This window comes from Homo sapiens, chromosome 4 (genome assembly GCF_000001405.40).
Source record: "Homo sapiens chromosome 4, GRCh38.p14 Primary Assembly".
NCBI lineage: Eukaryota > Metazoa > Chordata > Mammalia > Primates > Hominidae > Homo > Homo sapiens.
In genome coordinates, this window is record NC_000004.12 from 168,273,717 (window position 1) to 168,291,562 (window position 17,846).

The window sequence follows — 17,846 nt, forward strand, 5'->3', positions numbered from 1 at the left end:
TAAAGTTTGAATATGTATATGTTATTTTATGTACATGTTTGTGTGTGTGTGTATGTATGTGTATATGTATATGTATATTATTTTAGCTTCAGACACTGAAACAAGAAAATGCAGGTTAAAAAATAAAGTGAACTAGATCTACCATGTGACCATGTTCATTATTTTTAAATAGTAGGTTCAGGAATGAAAGAGAATATTATAGTCACTTGAGCACTACCTTTGTGGGTGCAACGTACACGACCACCCCGTCGTCGCTCTCCTTCAGCACTTTCTCCATACAGTAGTAGGAGGCATAGGTTTTGCCTGAGGACGTTGGGGCAACAATCACTGCTGACTCATTCTTATCCACAACATCAAGGAGCTCTCGCTGCAGGGTGCAGAGTACCATTCATGTCAAGAAACTGAACCGTATGTTACCAAAACAAAGACAGTATTTATAGACTTCCAATACGATTTTCTGAACCTCAAAGGATCTGTAGGTACATCTGAAGGTCTCATGTCATTCTCTCAGAAGAGATCATTTTTATGCTTTTGAACATCTGTAAGGTGGGTTTTATGTGTGACAAATGGAGAGGATGTCTGAACAAAATATCTTATTATTGAGAAAACATCTTGTAATTATTTGCTATTTACTAAGTGCGGTTGAGAAACTAAGTTCTAAGAAAGAGACAATATGTATATTACTGATGGTGAAGAAAATAGCTGAGGAGAAGAAACATCAAACATTCTTAATTTTACTACTGATATTCTACTTTCTACATAGAAGAATGCCAGGATGAGAGAGCTCCATCCCTTCAGCCGAAGAATGTTGACTAGCCGAAGAATGATAATAAGTCTATGTAATAGGTAGAAGGTGGGAAAACAACTCAAAACCCCAACCGGTCCACTCCCGGCCACACCTCAGCGTGAATTGGGCATCAGAAGAGTTACAATGTGAATGAAATTAATGGAGAGCATTAGTGCCTCTAGTCCTGCACTGAAGCAAGGAACCGGTCTTCCTATTCATGAAAAGGCACCATGCATTTTTTAACCTACCCCACCATCATAAGAAAGATTCTGAAGGGGGCAGTCTATTAGACTGAAGCTATAAAACTGCATTTCTGTAGGCAAACATGTTCAATTTATCAGCAAGTTGGTATGGTTCAATGTATGTAGAAATGCATCCTTTTCTTCTAAATTTTATATCCCTCAATATTAATTTTATATACATTTTTAGAATAGCTACTATGGTGACAGATGCAATGTGTAAATATCTAAACAATTGTCCCTACTATTTAAACTATCCAAATTTCTCTATGCACTTTATATATTTACATATGAAATCCTATTGACACACGGAAAACCTGGAGGCTGCTCCATGATGATACAGCTGGATGACACTGAGATAACATCAGAGCTAAACATATGACTCCATTAATGTACCTCCAAGGAAATGGTCTATATAATAAAAGAAAATCTCACTTTCTTTAAATGGGGAAAAAATAGTCCACATTTGACATTTTCAATAACAAAGTATCTTTAAATGACATGAACATCAAATATAACATGTACAGCCACAATAATGAGAAACCTCTGAGATCACATATAATAAGAAAATACAGTAATTTTTGTTTCATTTGCAGTATTACCTGCCATGTGTCGGGAATAAAATCCTGGACCCTGGGATCTGGGTCTTTTCTCTCATCTCGTATCAAATAATGGCCCATGTATTGCAGTTGGAACCGAGCTGGCCCAATGCCAACTGAATATTTATTCCTTTTCTTCACTTTTACATCATTTTCTGCATCCTGCATTATTTTAAAAGTCCATTTTGAAAATGACATTGAATTAGAATATCATTTAAATAAGTAAAACATTTATTACTGAGCACTTTCTATGTGAAAAGCATTTTACCACCTTTTAAATTTAAATTTTTTAAATCATTGTCTTAACTAGGTAAAATTAGTAGACATCAAGATTTTCAAATATACGTCATGATATTTGTGGCTACAACCTGATATATTTAAAGACAATTGAATAATCACACTAGTTTTGAGATGTTTTGCTAGAATTAAGTGCAGGGTTAGTTTTAAAGGATCTGCAGAGATTATCTGGCATTTAATCTGTTTGTCCAGGTAAGCATTTGTACAAATTTTCTCATTATGTATTACTTCAAGATTGGGCAGTTGGGTTACTACTAATAATAGTATTTTCAGTAAAAAAAAAAAAAAAATCTGGAAGAGATGACTATCTTTGCAAAACACTTTATGTATACCTAATAATTACCCTGTTGAAATTGAGCTATTCTGATAATATTACCTGGGCTGGATGTAAAGAACTTGCCAACTCATCAAATCCTAAATACTTAAGGCATCTGGCTATGAGTTGCCGATCATCTTCTTGTAAAAGTTCTGAGTATTTTTCCATCAAGGAGTGGATCCTTTTCATCACCTGAACAGCTATACTTAAATCTTTCGTGGTTTTACCTTGATAAACAATAAACAATAAAATTGTTATAAAGACCATCAAAAATAATTCATTTGATTACCCAAGATTAATCATCTAGATGGCCTCACTATCTCACTTGGCATTAGTGGAGGTTTTGGAGTAGAAAGGACCAAATAAAGTAAAATTGAAGTTCCACTATCCACACTTCATCATCTCTGTGGATTGTTGAGATGTAGCTATATCAGTGTTGGGAAAAAAATTGTAGTTCATAATAGAAATAAGATCAAAAAAGCTCAAGTTTGTAAAAGTTTAGGAAGAATAACAAATATTTTCTCCATCTTTTATTTTCATATGTGCTCTACTATGTTCAAAGAAAAATATCTTTATTACTTGAAATATCTGGTTAAAACCTTAGCAACATTTATTGAGTCCTATGGTTGACCACAGATAAGTATTTGGTGTACTCATTGGAGCCCTTCAATTCAATCCACCTCTTCCAACTGTCACATTCTAGATGTTGCTAATCTCTCTCCATTGCTTTATATTCATACATACCCTTTTTGTTCCTCTGCTCTGCTAATTATTTCATACTTATTATGTCAGGGTTTCTTCTAATCAATCACCTATATTTCACCTATTTAACAATATTAACTAACACCTACTGAATACAGTAAGAGGCTACAAAGGAAATGTAATACAGTTCATACTGATTGTTATGCACTGTTTTTCTAGGTGAGCAGTTCACTTAGAAAAACAATGCATAACACTTGATCATTCCCAATTAAGCAGCAGAAACAATAGGAGGTTGCTGGAGAGAAACAATAGGTCAGGGTGTTGGAGAGAACATGGAGGTCATGTGTTAAATGGATCAAAGTGTGGAGATGCTCAAAACTGACAGATCAACTAGGTTTGCTCAGAAGAACTGTCAGTTTGGAGGTATTATGGAACAAGATCATTTCACTTGCCGTGAGTTTACACATCTTGATGTGATCCTATTTCACCTGTATCTTCCTCTTTCTGCCTCTTCTTTTCTTTTTTACTACCTGCTATGGAAATTATAAAGTAGAGCACATGGTATCCACAGCAGCTTTGGAAGAACTCAGCGTGCCAGGGAAGCATGAATACAGTGTTACCCAAAAAAGAAATGTTTACTCATTGGTCTCAAAGGTGAATGACAGATTCTTCCTGGGTGCCTCATCGTTTTTGTTGGTTCCCTTAACCACGCCCACAACCTTATAAGTTGTTCTTTTTGCACCCGTCTTTGAAGGTGCTTATGGATGTGCTATATATTTGCCCTTGGGACCCTCTCTGAGATTTCATTGCTCATTGATAAAATACAAAATTGTCCTTTTATTGGTGGTGTCAGGGATCTGAGCTAAACTGTGGTTCAAAACTATTAAATGAAAATTCCAGGCCGGGCGCAGTGGCTCACACCCGTAATCCCAGCACTTTGGGAGGCCGAGGCGGGCAGATCACAACGTCAGGAGATGGAGACCATCCTGGCTAACATGGTGAATTAGCCGGATGCGGTGGTGGGCGCCTGTAGTCCCAGCTACTCAGGAGGCTGAGGGAGGAGAATGGCGTGAACCCAGGAGGCAGAGCTTGCAGTGAGCCGAGATAGTGCCACTGCACTGCAGCCTGAGCGAAAGAGCGAGACTCCATCTCAAAAAAAAAAAAAGAAAAAAAAAAAAAAGAAAATTCCAGAAATACATAAATCATATGTTTTTAAATTGCACACCATTTTGAGTCGTGTGATGAAATCTCGCACCATCTCACTTCATCCTGCTCAGGACATGAATCCTTCCTTTGTCCCCCATGTTCACACTGTAGACACCACCTTCCCATTAGTTACTTAGTAGCCACCTTGATGATCAGATTGACTGCATTGATGCCTCAGTGTTGGTGTTCAAATAACCCTTCTTTTACTTAATAGTGGCCCCAAACTGTAAAATAAGTGATGTTGGCAATTCAGATATGCCAAAAAGAAGCCATAAAGTGCTTTCTTTAAGTGAAAACATGAAAGTTCTTGACTTAATAAGTGAAGAAAAACTCATATGCTGAGGTTGCTAAGATCTACAGTCAGAAACAATCTTTTATCCATGAAGTTGTGAAGAAGAAAAAAGAAATCCGTGCTAGTTTTGCTGTTGCACCTCAAATGGCAAAAGTTTTGGACACAGTGTTTGATAAGTGCTTAGTTAAGATAGAAGGTGGAAGACATGAATAGAAAATATTTTCCAGGTGATGGAAACATGTTGCACCTGAAAGCATTGAATCTGTATGAAGACTTCAACAAGGCATCCTCTGAAATGAGTGACAATGACCCATTTTCTTCAAATATAGGATGGTTACACAAATTCAGGAATAGGTTTGGACTGAAAAATATAAAAAATACTGAAGCGGGCCGGGCTCAGTGGCTCACGCCTGTAATCCCAGCAATTTGAAAAGCTAAGGTGGGCAGATCATGAGGTCAAGAGATCGATGATCCTGGCCAACATGCCAACATGGTGAAATCCCATCTCTAGTAAAAATACAAAAATTAGCTGGGCATGGTGGTGTGTGCATGCAGTCCCAGATACTCAGGAGGCTGAGGCAGCAGAATAGCTTGAACCCAGGAGGCGGAGGTTGCAGTGAGCAAGATCACACCACTGCACTCCAGTCTGGTGACAGAGCGAGGCTCCATCTCAAAAACAGAACAAAACAAAAAAACTACTGACTGAAGAGGCTCCATCTGCCAATGAAGAAGCTGCTGCCACATTTCTGGCAGAGTTGAAGAAGTTGGTTAGAAAGAAAGGATACCATCCAAAGCAAGGTTTTAATTGTGATGAAACCAGGCTCTTCTGGAAGAAGATGCCCAATAGAACCTACACATTCATAAAAGTCCAAAGGAGGCACCAAGACATAAAACATGGAAGGACAGAGTAACCCTGGTACTAGGTGGCAATGCTGCAGTGCATATAATAAAGACAGGCATAGCATACAGACTGAAGAAGACATACACTCTCAAAAACAAAAGCAAAAATTATCTTCTTGTGTTCTGGCAACATAATCAGAAAGTGTGAATGACAGCCAACATTTTTATGGAATGGTTCTACCAATGCTTCTTCCCAGAAGTGAAAAAATACTTGAAAGAGGAAAGCTTGGAATACTAGACAATGCACCTAGCCATCCCAAATCTGTTTTTGTTGAAAATGAAAACATTGAGATTGTATTTTTACCTCCAAATACAAACTCACTGCTTCAGCGCCTTGACTATGGCATCATTCAGTTTGCCAAAGCCACATACACCTGCCTGGTGTTTGATTACATTCAATCAGCAATTGATGCAGACCCTAATCTGGACATGATAAGGTGCTGGAAATTATTCACTATTGCTGATGCAATAACACTCACCAAAGATGCAATGGATTAATTAAACCCAAAAACTATAAATGCCTGCTGGAAGAATTTATGGAGTAAAGTCCTGAGTGATATTCGAGACTTCCTGGGGATCAATGGAGAAGTTAGGAAAATAATTCATGCAGCAAGACTGATTGATAGAGAGAGATTTGCCAACGTGTTTGATAAAGAAGTGAAACAACATATTGAAGTTCATTAGGAAATGTTAACAAATGAGGAAATGGAAGAACTTATTGAGTCATCTAGGGAGGAAGATGAAGAACCTGAAGCAGAACCTGAATTTGCTGAAGTGTTTCAAATTACATGGATATTAAAAGAAAAAATATGGAATACAATTCTCAGATGGAACACAGCATTAAAGTCACCCATATAATCACAAAAGAATGGCAACCTTCACAGAGACACTTTGATGAGTTAAAAAGTGACAACAGTGGCTGGGCGCAATGGCTCACGTCCGTAATCCCAGCACTTTGGGAGGCCGTGGCAGGTGGATCACAAAGTCAGGAGTTCAAGAGCAGGAGTTCAAAGAAATTAAACTTTATCATAGGTATGTATGCATAGGAAAAAACAATATACATGGCATTTGGTACTATCCACAGTTTCAGGCAACCATTGTGGGTCTTAGAACATACCCCCGGCAGGTAGCGGGAAACTATTGTAAAGGTAATAATGTATAAAGTAAGATAGGGCATGTAAGTCTTCTAATGCAAATTTCCAGTTAACAAATGGCAACTATCATCATTACATTTGTATTAATTCTCCAACTCACCGAAATAACAAAACAGAATTACATACCTTCTTCACTTCGGCAATGTTCTTTCCAGGCTTTCAAGCAAGCAGTTAACCCCACCATTTCAACCTGAAGTTTCACACAGCTACTTTTACAGGATTTCAAAAAATCTTCCAGGCTCTTTATTCCAGAGTGTAAATTTTCTTTCAATTGCTCTTCAATAGAAAATGACAAAGCATTCCACTTTTGCTCTTCCTTTTGTTCTTCCCTGGCAAATAACCTTTTCTTATTCTCTCTAGCAATTATTTCAGCCTTGGTCTCCTGCCCCAAAGGAAAAAACATCTCTTAAGACAAGTTGAAAATATTCCAAGATAACAGGTCATGAGTGAGACAATATTATGGGTGTATTGAAGACTTTGACCATCATCCCATTTTGAGTAGATGTGAAAAATTTCTTTTTTTCTTTTGGAAATTAAGCCTCTGTTAATTTATAACTTAAGACAATTTAATTTAGGGAGTGTAAAGGCTCTCTGTAGATAATTTTCTAGATTTCTGAGTGGTGTGGTTTATAAATAAAACAGTAAATGTTGCTGGGCGTGGTGAATGACACCTGTAATCCCAGCACTTTGGGAGGCTGAGGCTGGAGGATCATCTGAAGCCAGGAGTTTCAGACCAGCCTGGCCCACATGGTGAAACCTCTTACCTACTAAAAATACAAAAATTAGCTGGGCATGGTGGCACGCTCCTGTAGTCCCAGCTACTTGGGAGGCTGAGGCATGAGAATCCCTTGAACCTGGGAGGCAGAGGTTGCAGTGAGCCGAGATTGGGCCACTGCACTCCAGCCTGGGCGATGGAGCAGGACTCTGTCTCAGAAAAATAAAAAAGAAGAAGAAAAGTTAATGTCACAAAATCAGAGACAACAGACTGCCTCTCTTTTCATTTCTCCATGCTATGATATCTGCTGCTCTCTCTGGAATCGCCTGTCCTCTTCCATTCTTCCCACATCACCTCCCTGTTCTCTACTTGTTTATGATATTTCCTCCATGAAGCTTTCCCTGACTCTCCCAAGTCGAAGTCATGTATTCTTCCTCTGCTCAGACACCTATTGAAGCACTCATTAACATAAACTGTAGTTGTAATTTCATTTGCCATTCCTCCTCTCTTGATTGAGATCCTTGAGACAGGAATGTGCCTTTGTTGTCTGTATGTCTCAAGCACAAAGCATTTAGTCCATAATGTTTGATGAGTGAATAAGGAAAGAGGAAGAAGAGGAGTAGATAAGAGGAACAACACAAATACAACTGATTTGCTCTTCCTCAATAAGCACTTCCAATTAACTTAAACATAGTATGGACCCACTTTTACTATGCTTTTACCAACCTGACTCATTAATCTACAAAGACAAATTAGAGAATTGTTGTATTAGCAAGAGGATTCCAACACATTTTCCACACTTCTGGTTAGTCACGAAATTAATATGTAAATGCCTGCCTATAATGAAGTCAAGTTTAGTTGTCATCACTCTCTAAATTAGAAACAAATAATTCTAATCAATAATATTTGAGTTTTCCCAGTGTTTAGTCTTCCTAATTTGCTGTGTTGGGCCAATTTAGCATGGTTCTGTTTCAATAGTACAAGGGTTACCTTTGACCCTTTGCCATGTAGATTTTTCTATTTTCATACATTGTATTATGTAACAAGAATTTCTGCAAATTTACCATTTCATAACATCTCTCAAAACAACAACAACAAAAAAACTGAAAAGCAGTAGCCTTTTGTCACCCATAATAAAAAAGTAAATGTTTAATTAAGTAGTCTCACTGACAATACAATTGGCTATAAAAATGAAAAGGAGGAGAGAAACAACGATCACACAGTTGGGCTCAGAGAGGCTTCTCTTTGGCTCTTAAAACAAAAGATGGGACAGCCCAACTGCTTAAACTTTTGAAGCAGTTCAAGAATAGAGGCTTCACAGAACATGTGAGAACCTTTTAGAGTAATTTGTGATTATTTTTTGAAGTTATCCTGAGTAGAAAATACAAGAACTTTTTTGATAAGTCCTTGAACTGATGAACTATCTGTCTCTCGGAGTTCTGAAAATGTCCACTGAAGGCTTGACAAAGAGATGCACATTTTCCTGATCTTGCCAAAATTTTCGCAAAAGTAATTATTCAGAAGTGAAAATAAAAATATTTTTTGAGGTCTTTATATGTTCCATTCCTGATAACTTCACCACGTTTATTTCAATTTGTTAAGGTGGATATGTGACAAATACCTTTATTTGTGATTGGTTTTGTTAAGTTGGTACTTTCTCTAATATACTAAAACCTTTCATCTTGAGAGAAACTTTTTTGTGAAAATTAATGCCATTTCCAAAACCCCAACTTTGAGGCCACAGAAAGATACTAAAGCCTGATGAGTTTTCCATTTGTTTAAGATGGAAACCATTTATGACCTGCCTCTAAAGTCAGATAATCAGAAAATTCAGTTTTAAAATAAAAATATCTGTACTTAGACATTAATGTTTCAGGAATTATCAACTGATAATTTTAGATCATAAACTATTAGTATTATTATTCCAGAAATAGATTGGAACTTTCCTTATTTACTCCTTGTATTCCATCCCCAGTTACGTCTCCCAGGAAAAGAGTAGAAAAATGACATCCCAAGAAGGAAAAAGGTAAGTTTGCAGGAGTACAAGCCACACAGAAAGAGGGAATGGAGAGTTCTAACCTTCCACTCAAAAAATGTGTTGGATTAATCAATCATTTAAATACTTTGGAAAAGTGTAAACACTCTTTATAATTTAGAAAAAAAGTAGATAAACATTTCATATCCATTTTTACTACCTATATGAAAAAGATTTTCACTGTCATTAATGAACAACTATATTTTTAACGTTAGTTTAAAATTTCTAAACTCAAAACTTTAGTCACTTAATTATTCTTCAAAGAGATACATATGTTATTATGTATAGAATATCATTACAACTTTTTTATGAAGGTTAGGCTTTTTCAGCAAGAGGTAAAAGAATAAGTAATCATATACAAAAATATATGCATATAAATATCAAGAAAAGGCATTATATAAAAAGAAACCACCAAAGGGATAACACATATCAACCTGATAAAAGAAAAGGAAAATTTTTTTAATTGGATAGAATTTATAGAACCTACGTGTGCCTTTTTGCTCTTGGGCCCACTAAAATCCTTCTTTGACTTAATAGTTTGAGTCACGATGATTTTCGAAGAGACTGTTTCTAATGAATTCCCATAAAACCGTTGGAAAACATGATACTTTTGCACAGATCTAAGAACACGAGGGTCTCTAGATTTTTCTGAAAAAGAAAAGACTTAAAATGTAACTTTATTGTAGTTTTTCAATAGCATTCTCATCAATTCTTCATATTATTCCACATCCAGTAGTTAAATTAGTGGAAAAGTAATTTAATCTCATTATCTTTCTTAAAGAGAGAACGTAAAATCAAGTTAATAATTCCTTTTCTTATTTAAAAGATGGAAGTGACAAAACACACTTTCATGGTCTACCTCCTAAATTAGGTATCAGGTGCAACAAAAAAAATGACGGATTCCATTCATTACCTATGTCCTGTGCCCTGTGAATTAGTTTAAGAAGAAGGTAGAGGCAGAGTGAAGAAGACAACCATCTAAGATATTCTGACTTCTTGTATCACTGGATAGAAAAAATCCTTACTCCGGACCATAGCCATAGAGCCAGAGCCCAGAGCATGGCAGCTAAAATGGTAAAATTTAATAACATAAGATGCCCCCAAAGTCAAGATATGCCTTACTCCCTTATCTCCATAAAAACTGTAATACTCACAGTAATGAAATAACTAAGCTGATTAATTTTTCTATGTCTGTAACTACACATATCACACCAGACCACTCCGAAGCATGTTAATGGTTCATCTAAAGTATCCCCCCACACCTTGGTCATTATTTACATACCCAGGTACTTCACAGGAGCATACTTGCTATGCCTACTCCTAGGTTATTCTCAGAGTAAGTTTTGTCAACTCTAACGGGGCTGGGGGTAAGCATAGGGATACAGAAAGTTGAGATGAAGACAAGATCCCAAATTCAGTCTCTGTTGATCCACTGTTAGTGGTTTCATGGGCCTCCTTCTGTAGTTTCAACCACCCTGAGCATGAAGGCAGATAGAATGCTGGTGCTTGTTACATGCAGCCAATCGGGTGTTATCAAACAGTTAAAATTGCTTGAAAGACTATGGTCTCAATATATATGACTCCAAGGAATACATACATTGCTTAAACTACAAACCATCTTTCCTTGAAACAACTTCTAGCACTTCCTCCTAAAACACATACATATCTACATACGTACGACTGTCAATAAAGAGAGAGAGAATTTTTCATTACCATCTTTCCCAATGCACATCTAAATATCTTGTAGACTATTTTCATTCAAAAAAATTTAATTTGTGTCTTATGATAATTTTCCACTATAAAATAAGAGGCAGAGAGTAAAGTAGATTTAAATTTATATCACTGGAGTCACAGAGCTTACCATCAAACTGACACCTGGACCTGTCATAATCATCACTCAGGGGTTTATGAGAATGCCAGTGCACAAGTTCATCAAATTCCTTTTGTTTAACCAGTGAAGTAACAATAGGATCATCACTGTGAGACAAAAAAAGGCATATTTTAAATTGCACACTTCCAAATATAACACAGCACAGATTTTATTTTATAATGTTTTTGAAAATCATAGTTCCCCTTCTTCTTTCTGCAATATGATGTGGGTGGTAGACTCCAAACAGCAGTTTATTAGAGGTTTAATAAATCAAAATCTACTCCATGTCTCTAACAGTCCCATCAATATCAACTAATAGGCATTCATTAATTCATTAATTTAAAATATGCAGCTGTAGTGATTTATTCTAAGATTAAAAACTATACAGATTTTTACATAGTAATGGCCAAAAGGCATTGAAAATTTTGATTTTAAATTCATTATGTATTACAAACACATACTACATGTAATGTACTCTAATCGTCTGCATTTCAAATAATCCTCGTTGAGTAACTCATGTATTCCACACAAGTATTTATTGAGGCACAGTTTTTGGCCTTATACCTCTTTAGAAAAGGCAAATCTTTCAAAATATCTCCAGCAAATTTATCAACCACAAAAGATGACGTTGGAATAAAACCCAAATTGGGCACCATTTCATTGGAGCTGTCTGTAAACAAACAAAAAAAAATTGAGACAAGGTCAAATGTAAAGCTTTCAGACAGGAATATTACATATTATTTTCTAAAACTTCATATTAAAAACATTTTATATTAATCTTATTTACATATATCAAGTTCAGCCCTTCTCATAAAGCTATTTCCCACAGTAAAACACTTTGGAACACAGTAGAGTATAAAGAATCAGACAGCATTTTGGCATATATGTGGATATGCATGGGGGATGGGTGGGTGGATATGCATGGGGGATGGGTGGGTGAATGGATGCATGGATGGGTGGATGGATGTATGCATGGATGGGTGGATGGATGGATGGGTAAGTAGACAGATGACAGATGGATAAATCAGATAGGTAGGTAGATGGGAAGAAGAAAGGAAGGAGGGAAGAAAGGAAGGAAGGAAGGAAGGAAGGAAGGAAGGAAGGAAGGAAGGGAGGAAGGGAGGGAGGGAAAGGAAAGAATGAAAGAAAGAAAGAAAGAAAGAAAGAAAGAAAGGAGGGAGGGAAGGAAGGATGGAGGGAGGAAGGAAGGAAAGAAAAAAGAAAAAGAAAGAAAGAAAGAAAAGCAAGCAAGCAAGCACACAGGGAGGGAGGGAGGGAGGAAGGAAGGAAAGAAGGAAGGAAGGAAGGAAGAAAGGAAGGAAGATAAAGAAAAATACCTATGCCTTTTATTTTCAAATGTGAATTCCTTTTATTATCCCTTATTATAAGACAAAGATTTTGACGATGGAAGCCTCAGAGATTATATATCTATATACATATACATACACATATACAAAGACTTTCATGAAAATGAAATAAAAAAGAAGTAGGGAAAAATACAGATGGTAATGAAATTATTTGATATGATTACAGTATTCTCTTGAGTCCTCCTTGATTTTATACACACACACACACACACACACACACACCACACGAGATAGATAGATAGATAGATAGATAGATAGATATTACATATCAAGTATATTATGATAATAGACAAATGAATGACTTTTTATTCTATTGAATGTCTGGTTCATGATTCCAGGTTAACCACCATTGCTCTGCCTGGGATCCTCCTAGTGCTCCCTGTGCCTGCGTTTGTCGGGATCCTTTCTTATTTAAGCCCCTGCAACTTGCTGCCTAAAAGAGGTGGAGAGCCCATGTGGCCTTCCCTAAATTTTTCAGCCCCTAGGATGTTTTGAGCTTAGCTATAATGTTATAAAAAGATGTTTGGTGTCTCTTATTCAGCATCTCAAGTGCTTTACACAAAGAGATTTTTCTGTGGACCTATAACTGCCATATTGCTGGAAATGGAAGTCATATATATCTGGCTGTGTTTTTTAATTGAAACAATATTAATTATAAGCAAAATGTAAATCTTCATAATTATAGTCACAGCATACCACTCCAAGGATATAAGAATAAAGGTAATTTATTTTTATTATTAAAATTCAAGTGCCAGAAAATTATTTATACTTGCAGCACTGAATTAGTGGTGTTTCCTAAACACTTTCAGAGGAATAATGCTTTCATTTCAGATTAATTTAGAAATTTATTACCTTTGATTGGTGATGGTTTCTTTTCAAGAAAACAAACTTTTGTTGTTCTCAGAGGAAATGGCTGTCCAACCTCAAAGTCTCTGACCAACTTTGATACGGTATTCCAGAGATATTCATAATCTTTCATAATGGTATCTCCCAAATTCAAATGTAGGCCTACATAACAATTAAAAACACTAAATACTAGAAGCCATCCACTCCCACATAAAGAATCATTAGTCACATTTTGAGTAAATTCATGGAATTCTGAAATACTTTCCACATAGTGAAATTTTTAGTGAGTTCCACACTGGACATAAATGAAAATGGTCACTAGTGTTGACTATGAGATACAGATTGTAAAGTTTATCTTGTTTTTATTGTTAATAACTAAGTATTAAATTTGTAAGCACATTAACCCACAAACGCATCGTGAACATTTAACTACTCTTTAAGGTAATAAAAATGTTATGCCACACATAACTTTACAACAAACAAAACAGAATAAAAACTTTAGTTTTTGAGAGATGAGAAAATTGGTAAAGGATTGTTAAGTTTATATGCAGCTAATTCATTACAATGATTACAACATGAAGGAACCACATCACTGTGGTCAAAGCTTCAATAATGTTCAATCAGTTAGAGTTCTGTCCAAATATGTTTTTGTTTTGTTTTGTTCGGTTTTACTATTAGGAAACATCAGAAATCTTACCCTAAGAAAAGATTTTAAAGAAAGAAAAACAAATTACATATAAAAATATATAAATTAGCCTTATCTTTTGGAAAAAAATAAATTTTCTAAATATCTCAATAGTAGTGAAATAATTAAATTAATTAAACTTTATGAAGAAATATTATGCATGCATTTAAATGAAAAGTTCAACTTTTGAAATTAACTGAAAATGCTGGACACGCAAACATATATTTTCTCCTGAAATACTTTTAATGTAATATTAAGTGAAAAACATATTTTAAAATACAGCATTCCCTCTAATTGCAACTAAAATATTACATACAAATGTGAACAAAGATGAAAATAATTGCTATGTTATATGTTGGAAGTACAGAAAAATTATTTTGTAGTTTTAAATTCCTTATAAAGTTTATCTGTGGATGGAAGTATGATTATAATATACTGAGATGGTACCTTTTACATTTTCATTTTCATAGTAAAAAGCAATATTCTTCAACAAAAGCTCATCATTTAAGTCAGAAAGGTGAATTAAATTCAGATTCCAAAATTCAAAAGTATGTATATTTCTTAAGATGAAATATTCACACCACTTTTTCTGAAAATTGAAAAGAAAACCAAGTTATTGGCAATATTCATATTAGCAATAAACTATAGGGTTCATATGCTTCTGAACTGAAAGGCAGTGGGCAGGATCATTCCAATCCTTGTTTAGGCAAGCCCATTCAGGCTGGGTAATGGTGAATGCTTTACACCTTAAGGAATTAAAGCATAAAATAAAATAAAAACTGATCCAAAAATGCATTCTGTATAGTTCTTTATCCCGAATCAAGGAAATCTGCATTTGACTCTTAAAATAGTGTTTTTCTCACACTGTTACCCACAGATAGAATTCCAAAGCTACAGAAATACTTCTGCTTTGAAATGTGCCTCTGTTCTTTATTTAGATTTTAATATGTTCAGATTCAACCTTCAGGTCAAAAGAGCATTTAAAAAAATGTGTTTGAGTGTTCAGGGACCTAGAAGATGCTGAATCCTTCAAACTCTTAAGATTCCCATCCACCTACCTGGCTGGTCTCCATGCTTCAAGATTCAGAGTAAACCTCATGGAATGATCCCTTCTACGATTTGCTTAGTTGCTTTCTCAAGAGGCCTCAAGAAATGTCAAAAATTTCTTTTATTTTGAAAATATTAGGGGCTACCTGAAATTACACTTCAAGCTACAGAGTGTTACCAAATATCAGGCATGGAGTATGGGAAAGGCAGGAAGGTTGGCTGACTATGGGCTGATCAGCTGTTACTCCATAGGGCATATATTTGGAAGCTGGACAGAGTGAAGTCAGATCTCAACTTGATCATTCATTAGCTGTGCTCATGGACCACATAGCTGAGTCCAAGTTTTTCCTTTGCAAAATGAGGACATAAGAGGATCGTTGTTATGTCTAATTAAAGACTAAGGTTTTCTATTAGGTAAAGTACAACCTAGACCTTAGTCTCTTAATTATGATCAACAGTGAGCTCCGTTTCATTAAAACCAATGTATTTTCAGTCCTCAACCTATTACAATCCTCTATAGCAGCTGATACTATTAACCACATCCACATTTTGAACTGCCCAGTTCCTTTGACCTTCAGGACAACCCATTCTCCTTGATTTTATTCCCATCTATCTAAGTAGTTCCTTCTCAGTATCTTTTGCCACTGTCTCAACCCATACTTAAGTGTTTAATATTGGAATATTTGAACTCCCTGTCCTCAGCTCTCTTACCATATCTCTCTTCCAAAATAATTTCATCTCTTAGCATAGCATCAATTAACATCCACAGGGTAACAATTCCTAAACTTTTATCTCCAGCCCATTCCACCCTTCTAAGTCCAAAACATTATTTCAAATTGTTTACTAGATATCTCCATGTGGACATTGCATTGGCACTCAAAACTCAGTATTTCCAAAAAAGAAACCATTGATCCTTCCCCACTAACGTGCCCTTCATACAATGACGGCATCCCCACAAATGCTCAAGCCAGGGGTCTAGGAACTATTTGACTCCTTCCTTTCCCTCGTTACCCATATTCAATCACTAAACTTGTCATTCTTCACCTTAAATAACTCTTAAAATTGCCCAGTGCTATTCATCCCTACTTACCTCTCACTGGTCCCTGGCACCATCAACACTTACATGACTGAGGTAATAGCCACCTAATTTCCCCAAGTCCCCCCTGTTTTGCCTCTACAATGCACTCTCTGCATTGCAAGCCAGGGAAAGTTTCTGCAAATGCAAGTGCCACTCATCCATTTGAAACCACTCAGTGAATCCTCATTGGGCTTCTATCAAGTTACATCTGTATTTTCTTAACAGGGCCTACAGAATCCTACGTGACTTGTCTCTTGCCCGCCTCTTCAGCTTCATCACTTTCCCATATTTTTGCTACCCCTGCTGTGATAGATGTATCTCAGTTCCTTGGTTATGCCATCCTCGGGATAATCACACATGCTGCTTCACGCCCTACAATCCAGTTTCATCCTCTCTGCATCCTGCTAACTCCTTCTATTCCTCCAGGACTTGGGTCACTTCACTTCTCTTCATTTCTTTCTGTTTTCTTTTCTTTTCTTTTTTTTTTTTTTTTTTGAGACGGAGCCTCGCTCTGTCACCCAGGCTGGAGTACAGTGGTGCGATCTCGGCTCACTGCAAGCTCCGCCTCCTGGGTTCACACCATTCTCCCGCCGCAGCCTCCCGAGCAGCTGGGACTACAGGTGCCTACCACCATGCCTGGCTACTTTTTATTTTTTTTGGTATATTTTTAGTAGAGACGGGGTTTCACCATGTTAGCCAGGATGGTCTTGATCTCCTGACCTCATGATCCTCCTGACCTCATGATCCACCTGCCTTGGCCTCCGAAAGTTCTGGGATTACAGGTGTGAGCCACCGCGGCCGGCCTGTCTTCATTTCTTAAGAAACACCATCGTTTTCAGACTACGTTGGATCTTTTTATTATCAGATTATAAAGCATTCTATGATTCCGTCTTCATAATTACTTTTAAAATTTAATATCTGTCTTCTGTGGAAAATGTAGGTCTATGAAGGGGTTGGAGTGGGAAGGGTAAATATGTTTTTATTTTTCTCACTCTATCCCAGTGATTACCACAATGTACTAAATGTTTGTGGACTGGCTTCCTAGTTAATTGGTCATAAAATACTTTCCTTGAACATTTTCACTGTATGTATAATGATCCTTAAAAAAAGTTCATGCCAATTGATCCTTTAATCCCATTTCTAGCTCTCAAGCCAAAATCAATAACCCCAAATTAAAGGAAAAGGCTTATACACAAAGAGAATAACAACATCTATAATACAACCATCAAAGTCTTCTTAATATTCCATAATAGAGAAATGGGTAAGTAAACCATGGTACTAAAAGATAACTAGTAGCCATTAAAAATGATACTAATATTGTGAAAGGAAATAGAAAAACATGAAAAAATATATGTATATATAGAGTTCCAATATAAGAAACAATAAAACATCAGAAAAATCTATGCATTTAAAATAAAAAGAATAAACCAAAATGTTAACAGTTATCCCTATTGATTAAAATGGTAGACCTCCGGGGAAGTTTTTCTTCTGTTTTTGCTTCTATTTCTCTAAAGTATCCAAATTGTCTCTAAATATTCTCTATAAGAGTTGAAAGTAATAAACTACAAAACTGATTTCTTCAGTTCCTCTTAAGAGCAGACCACAGTGATCACCAACCATCAACTACAGTTGATAACACAAAAACCTGACCTTGGCAGAGATTTAACAAAGGAAAAATAGAGAGGCTTTTTCCTTAGGTTAGATATATATC

General features: G+C 36.1%; 1 protein-coding gene across 7 annotated transcripts in view; it reads right to left on the bottom strand.

Annotated features, from left to right (window-relative positions):
- DDX60 (DExD/H-box helicase 60) overlaps positions 1-17,846 on the bottom strand; it is a 109,686-nt gene that overhangs the window by 57,423 nt on the left and 34,417 nt on the right. For all 7 annotated transcript variants that reach the window (XM_024454132.2, NM_017631.6, NM_001410861.1 and 4 more), the window contains 9 exons: positions 14,458-14,599; positions 13,332-13,487; positions 11,677-11,782; positions 11,104-11,219; positions 9,730-9,890; positions 6,619-6,874; positions 2,299-2,465; positions 1,629-1,787; positions 218-367 (listed from right to left, as the gene is read on the bottom strand). In XM_024454132.2, the coding sequence (XP_024309900.1) occupies positions 218-367; positions 1,629-1,787; positions 2,299-2,465; positions 6,619-6,874; positions 9,730-9,890; positions 11,104-11,219; positions 11,677-11,782; positions 13,332-13,487; positions 14,458-14,599 (1,413 nt within the window). The remainder of the gene's footprint in view (positions 1-217; positions 368-1,628; positions 1,788-2,298; positions 2,466-6,618; positions 6,875-9,729; positions 9,891-11,103; positions 11,220-11,676; positions 11,783-13,331; positions 13,488-14,457; positions 14,600-17,846) is intronic.